Genomic DNA, 7383 nt, shown 5'->3' on the forward strand with positions numbered 1-7383 from the left:
AGATTCTAAGGAATCTTGTCTACCAAAGCAATCCATTTGCTGATCATTTGAGGGAGCCACCAGAGATTAGTAGGCAGAGAAAAGAATAATGAGAATTAGGCATTTTCTAATTTTTCTTTTTTCCCATATCCATATTTTAGGATAATACTGGAGGCTGCCATGGGAGAAGTCTGCACAAAAAGAGCAAGTTTAAGAGCTTCAGGAGTCATAAATGGCTTGAGAAGATTATGCTAGAGATTGAAGCAGATGGAAGATTCTAGAAACAGAAAGCATTCTTTTCATTGGTGTGAGTCTTGAATATAAATGGAAATCAGAGGTCTGTAATAGCAGGCCAGTGTGGATAAGGCAGTAAGGTTTTGAGTCTGAGGAGATGGCTGGGGGCAGTTTGTAGACTTATTGTCAGTCCAGTGTAGAATTTGAGAATATAGCCAGGGCTTAAGGTTCCAGTTTCAAATTAAAGACAAAAGAAATCAGCAATACCAAAATGAAGACAGAAGCCTGGGAATTGTGCCTCAAGATCTGGACTGAGAGGACATTTCTACACAACAGCTCCCCTAAGGGCAGGGCTATGACCGTTGTTGCTAAGCTGTCACCATCTCTCCTTCCCTATTAGACTGGCTTCTGTGGGGTAATTAACCAGTACAAGGATGTATGGGAAGCTCTTCTGAGAAGACCTCACATTAAAACAAAGTGTTGTTATTCAAGCTGGGTCATATTTGGGCACCTTGTTATTACAGCTTTGAGGAGGGATATCAAACTGTCATATTCACCTATGAGTTTAGGATCAGTGGAGGGAAGAGAACAGAAGGGCCACACAGAAGGGGAAGCTCAGGCACAGATGGCCAGCAGCCAGGCTCGCTGTAGAGGTGAGATTATCAAACATGACCATACAAAGGCTGCAGAGGCAAGATGCTTCCAATAGCCAGGAAGAATGTGGGCAGGGGAGAATTTGGTCCATTTGAAGTCAGAATTATACATGAAGACACTTGTAATCAAATAAATGCAGAACATATTTGTAAAGGGAAATAAAGTAGGAGTTAATTTTTTTTAACAAATTATGATTGAAATCTAAAATACCAAGATTAACATTCTACAAGGGTATTAATACAACAATGCCATTTTAACTCAAAGAATGTCTAAATATTTGTACAAAATAGCTGCTTACTGATGCTTGTGAAAAGGAAGAGATTGCTTCCCAGCACACTGTATCAGAGAGCCATGATAATAGCCATAGCTTAAGCAGACAAAGTAAAATGTAAAAATCCAAAAAAGTATCCATCACTACTACCACCACTCTTTAAAAATGCAAAGCTATTATTTATGGTGCATTCCAATTCAGTTAACTTCCTTCTTGCCTTTAAATAGATGCCCCTGACTTAATTGAAGTGTTTTAATTAATAACATAAAAATAACAAATTGGAACTAGAAAATGATTACAAAATAGAAGAAAAGCCTGGGAATGTCAAGAGGTTCTTAAGAATATCAGATAAGTGAGCTCATTCAGTGATAGAACAAGAAATACTAGAGGGATAAGCTGAAAGCTACATAGGACTGAAGTTTTTTAGACTCTACATTTATCAAAGTATTGGGTCAATTTTGTTGTGGACATCAAAAGCTATCTCAAGAAAAAGCTCAAATTATTACACTGCACTGGAATTTTAGTTTATCCATTAAGATTTGTAGGGAGCAAAACAGCAGCTTCCTTGTTATAATGCTGTTTGTCCTAATGAGGGGAGCTTAAGGGAGGCAGAGAGAGAAGCACATACTGTCTTATTTCAATATGAAACCCAAACAGCAAGCAACTGTCTCTTCTACAGAAGTGCAACCTCAAAGAGTTCTGAGAGTTTTTGCCGTATCACAGCTGGGACCTTGTTGTAGTCCAAATTAGTGTGTGTTCCTCAATATCCTAAGGGAGGTTCAGATATCCTTTCAATCATTCTCCTGGAATTCTGGCTTCTGAGAATTTGATATGAAATGGAAATTGACTAACACGAAGAAAAGACAGAAACTTGGCCTAAGGCCAACCATTTTCTTTCCTTAGTACAGGGTAACCATATAACTTATTTTCAAACTTGGACAGACTCCGAAGGGGGCTCTTTTAAGAACTGTGCCAGGACAATGGGAGTCGGTAGCAACTGTCCCAGGTAAATGGAACATATACTCCATTTAGTCATAGAGAATCTATGTCTAATATATTGTTTCTTTAGTTTTTGTATATCTTAGTAGCTAAATATAACTAAATGTAGCTAGTCTTTATAAAGTGTAAGCTTTTTATTCTTTAATACTGTGTGGCTTTGTGAGACTATTTGGTGTCACATAGGCCCTGTACCTCTGAGTTTACTGAGAATAAAAACTTATGATTCAAAAAGTTAAGCAATCATTAACTAAGTAACTCCAAAGAGCCCTAAGAGATCACACAAATATGGATTTCTACTCTATAAGTTTAATTAGTCATAGTACAGAGTGACTTATGAGAAGCCTCATGCCTCACGAATGATGAACGTTGAATCTGTTCATAAATAATAGATTAAACTTTAAATCAATAACCATTAGAGAAAACAGAAATATATTATGGTGAGTTTCATTCATATATATATCTGCCCCTTTCTATATATTTTAATTAAACCAATTTAAGTCATAAATTCTTCAATTATAATTCAGCCATAGGTCCTTTCCTCAAAAACGAAAGATAGTCATCTGGCATTAAAAGAGGAAGAAGGAAGTGATCACTAACAGCTGGAATCAATGATCATATATAAATATAAACCATGGTTCTCGGGGCCACTGTTTGTTTTTGTTTCGTGTTTTTTTGTCAATATTGAAATTGTCCTGCAAAGTCAAAGTCATCTTTCTAAATCTAGTTGCTAATACTATGGCATTCTCTTTTTTGCTATTCTTAGTATTGTAAGAATGTGAACTCAGAACCTATTAATAGAAAGTCTTCCCTTTGGAAAATGGAGCTTAGACCCAGAAAGGAGGGTGCTGCATACCAGCTCTCTGCTCTCCTCCTCTGAACAGTCTCTCCCCTAGGTTTCCCCTCCTCCTCCTCCTCCTCCTCTCCCTGCAGGTTGGTCCCTCCATCTCGTCACCATTCTGACCTCTTTAAATTTCTTTGTATAGAATTTTTTAAATAAAATTTCTTTTTATAGCTAGAGTCCTATTTTTTTCCTCTTTGTTTTGGGCCTAATCTATCAAGTATTAACATATACAGTTTTTCTAATGTGGGAGGAACAAGATTGCTCATTCATTCAACACATTTTGATTGAGAGCCCACCATGTTCCAGATGCAAGGATCAGCAGTGAATAAAAAGACATAAAAATCCCTGCCCTCATGAATCTTAGAGGACAAAAGAAAGCCACTCTCAGGTTCATCAGAAGAGTGTAATATATATATAACAACCCTTCCTAGTACTAAGATTAACTACCTTTATCTTCTGGTATTCATTTCATAATATATGCGGTATTTATGTTACATATGTATGTAAATGCATAGAAAAGTTTGGGAATAACAATAATAAAATAGGTTCATTTTGCATGTGTGTGTTGTATATGTGTGTAATCATACAATACATTCAGTAATTTGCTTTTGGCGTTTAATAGATTTTTTTTCCTTGGTTTTTCATCAAAATATATTTCCCTGTCAGCACATATAAATTTATCTCATCATTTTCATGACTGCTTAGTGAAGATGTGCCTTGTACCTATTGTAGGACATTCAAGGTTGCTTCCAAAATTTCAGTGTTTTGGATAATGCCCCACTGTCTTGCACATATCTTTTGCAAAGATGTCAGGATTCCTGTGGGATTGATTCCCAGTTGCTAAGTCAAAAGAGATGACTATGTTACCTATAGACAAACACTGCATGTTACAGGATGTACCTCAGCATCTGGAGAAAAATGCAACTCAGAGAAAAAGTATTGGGTATGAAAGAAAAACCTCTGTACTAATCTATATAGGGTATGGCTGCATTCCTCCTTTATCAGAAGCAGAAGTCTCTGTTGTCACTTTAACAATGGAAAATAAAGGTACAGAACATAAGAAATAATTGTGTACATTTAGGGGGTAGGATTAAAAAGATGAAGAAACTGGGGGCAGGGAAACTTTTATTTTCACTTTTCCCTTCTATGCCATTTGACTTGTTTATAACAGGTAGGTATTCATTTTATTTAAAACTAAGTAAATTTTCATAAACTATATATAAAAAATAATATTTTCCCTGTGTTCTCCCAGTGAAAACCGTAAAGCTTCATTCATCCAAGAGAAATGACAGGTTTGGGGTTTTTATGAATAAAGTTTAATTGAAGAACTGCTTCTGAAAACTTAAGGGTGACAGGAGAAAGCTTGTCCAAGTAATCAACTTTTCAAAGTCAAGAATGAAAAATAAATTTAAAATGCCTGTCAACCTCAATCTTGATTTCTTTTCAGATCAACAGAGCAGTTTCATGTTGAGGACAGTTATGTAAAGAGTCAAACACAAGGAGTTATTGGTATATCAAAATTAATTTTGTTAAGTTAATTAAGCAGCTTTCTTCCCTGTATCCCATACCTCTGCTTTGTATACATGGCTCTTTTAATTCCTACTTTACCTCCTAGGTTAATTTTTTTTTCTGTCTTGGTTAAGAGGTTCAGAAGCAACTCCATGAATAATGAATAAAAACCTAAAAATGATTTGTTTCATGGTAGTCTGTATGATTTAACATTGCAAGGTTCTAGCTGGCTTTACAGCTCCTGATCCAGCAAGTTACATAACTTTTGGCTTAATTTCTAAAGATTAACTGTTTATGTGGAGTGGCTGATATGGTTTGCTGTGTCCCCACCCAAATCTCATCCTGAATTGTAGCTCCCACAATTCCCATGTGTCATGCAAGGGACCCAGTGGGAAGTAATTGAATCATGGGGGCAGGTCTTTCCCATGCTGTTCTCGTGATAGTGAATAAGTCTTATGAGATCTGATGGTTTTATAAAGGGGAGTTTCCCTGCACAAGCTCTCTCTTGCCTGCTGCCATGTAAGACTTCCCTTGCTCTTCCGCCATGATTGTGAGACCTCCCGAGCCTCATGGTACTGTGAGTCCCTTAAACCTCTGGTTCTTTAAGATTACCCAGTCTCAGATATGTCTTTATCAGCAGTGGAAAAATGCACTAATACAGAGGTGGAGAGAGAAGGGCAACGGAGAGAAGAAAGTCCTTTAAGGAAAGCATTTTGGCCTTTCTCCATCATGTCCCTTGAATGTAGATTATGTTGGTAGGGTATCAGCTGATGTATCACAATATTTGTTGGGTGATAAGTGGTTAATAAAAAGTGGATCATTTTTCTTTAGTCAGGAAGATCAGGTGAAGATACCTAAATCCAGGGTTAGTCCCAAATTAAACTTGTCCACGTAATATATTCATATCCTAGTCATTCCTAATTATTACATCCCTGTCAGTCCTGTCTTGCTCTGAACTAGGTCTTTCTTCACATTTAAAATTCACACCCACTCCCCACCACTCAACCCACCCTTGGGATATCACCTCTCAGGGAATAGTAGCTAATTGACTTTCTAACTGGATTCACAATGAAATGTTAATGGCATATTTACCTATTTTAGAGAAAACATGCTTTTAAAAGCAAAAAAAAAAAAAAAAAAGAAAAGAAAGAGATATCAAGAGATATATACAACAGTGCCTTCATCTGGATGAATGGAGGTGAAGATTTCAGCCAGCATTGGTTGTTCTGAGGGTAAGAGAGTAGCAGTATTTTCTCCCAGGCCTGCCTGCTGCTTTGGTACTTAACACTGACATTTCCAATTCTCCTACTTTTTATTATTTAACTTCCAGTGTCTCTAGGAAAACACAGATTTCCATTTTGATCATATGGATGTTATTCAGGGCTGTTTTGAGCCCTTGTGCTCTTATTTTTGGCTACCCCACATGTATAACATATCAAACAAATTAAAATCCACCCATATCCTACATTAAATATAATTTATATTGCAATTATAAGAGTAGAGTTGCAGCTGACTAGTTGATGTTATTTTTGTAGATAGCTAATTAAACATTTATTAATTTCCATTTTGCAGCTTGCATTTGTGGTTTGGAGCCAATACTTTAAAAATCTTACAATCCATTGACACTGGTCTCCAGTGACTAACAGATAAAATGGCCTTGCTGATGCTAATTTAATATAGGAGTATATTTTTAAACTCTTACAAAAAATAGAGCCATTTAAAATGTTTTGCCTTTCTAATGAATGTGTCCTTTTTTCTTTTTTCTTTCTTTCTTTTTTTTTTTTTTTCTTGAGATGGAGCCTTGCTATATTGCCCAGGCTGGAGTGCTATGGTGCGATCTTGGCTCACTGCAACCTCTGCCTCCCAGGTTCAAGCGATTCTCCTGCCTCAGCCTCCTGAGTAGCTGGGATTACAGGTGCCCGCCACCACACCTGGCTAATTTTTTGTATCTTTACTAGAGATGGGGTTTCACCATGTTGGCCAGGCTGGTCTCAAACTCCTGACTTTGTGATCCGCCTGCCTCAGCCTTCCAAAGTTCTGGGATTACAGGCATGGGCCACCGTGCCCAGCCAAATGCATCCTTTTTACATAACAAACTACCTTCCTGAAATCTCTGTATCTATCCTAATTCTCTAATTTTTGAAAAATTGTAAAGTACGTTTTTTCATCACAGACAATTCTCTTCTTTATTTTCACATTTTGATATTTAAGATCTAAAGTTACAGTCTTCCTGTTTTAAGGCAATTTCTTTAATTTGCTATTTATTATCCACTTTCCATTGGATCCTTTCAAAAAATCAGTGCTCAATCTTTGATTTCTAAAAAGACACTTCGAGGTCTGATGAAGCCTCCAACCCCTCGACTACAATAGTTCCTACAGAAATTGTTTGTGTCCTTCCCTTTCATGTTTTTCCCAGCTGTATTTTTTTTTTTTTTTTTTTTTTGAGATAAAGTCTTTCCCTGTCACCCGGGCTGGAATACAGTGGTGTGATCTTGGCTCACTCCAACTTCCACCTCCCGGGTTTAGATGATTCTCATGCCTCAGCCTCCTGAGTAGCTGGGATTACAAGCATGTGCCACCACACCTGGCTAATTTTTGTATTTTTATTAGAGACAGGGTTTCGCCATGGTGGCCAGGCTGGTCTTGAACTCCTGGACTCAAGTGATCCACCCCCCTTGGCTTTCCAAAGTGCTGGATTACAGGAGTGGGCCATCATGTCCAGCTCTGACTTTAATTCTTACTAACATGCAAATTGCAGTGTACCATATCACCCCATTTTGGAGTATGACACACAAATGCATGTGTGAGATGCTCTGAAAGGAACCTCCAAACTGAGTACAAAGTAGTCCTTCTCAAAACATGGGCACCCTTGGTTCACAGAGGTCAGAATTTCTCA

General features: G+C 37.4%; 1 long non-coding RNA gene across 4 annotated transcripts in view; it reads left to right on the top strand.

The window, feature by feature from the left end:
* CCN2-AS1 (CCN2 antisense RNA 1) overlaps positions 1-3535 on the top strand; it is a 200374-nt gene extending 196839 nt beyond the window's left edge. For all 4 annotated transcript variants that reach the window (NR_187594.1, NR_187596.1, NR_187593.1 and 1 more), the window contains one exon: positions 141-3535. This is a non-coding gene — a long non-coding RNA (CCN2 antisense RNA 1). The remainder of the gene's footprint in view (positions 1-140) is intronic.
* The last annotated feature ends 3848 nt before the right edge of the window (positions 3536-7383 follow it).

The sequence above is a fragment of the Homo sapiens genome, chromosome 6, assembly GCF_000001405.40.
Source record: "Homo sapiens chromosome 6, GRCh38.p14 Primary Assembly".
Taxonomy (NCBI): Eukaryota; Metazoa; Chordata; class Mammalia; order Primates; family Hominidae; genus Homo; species Homo sapiens.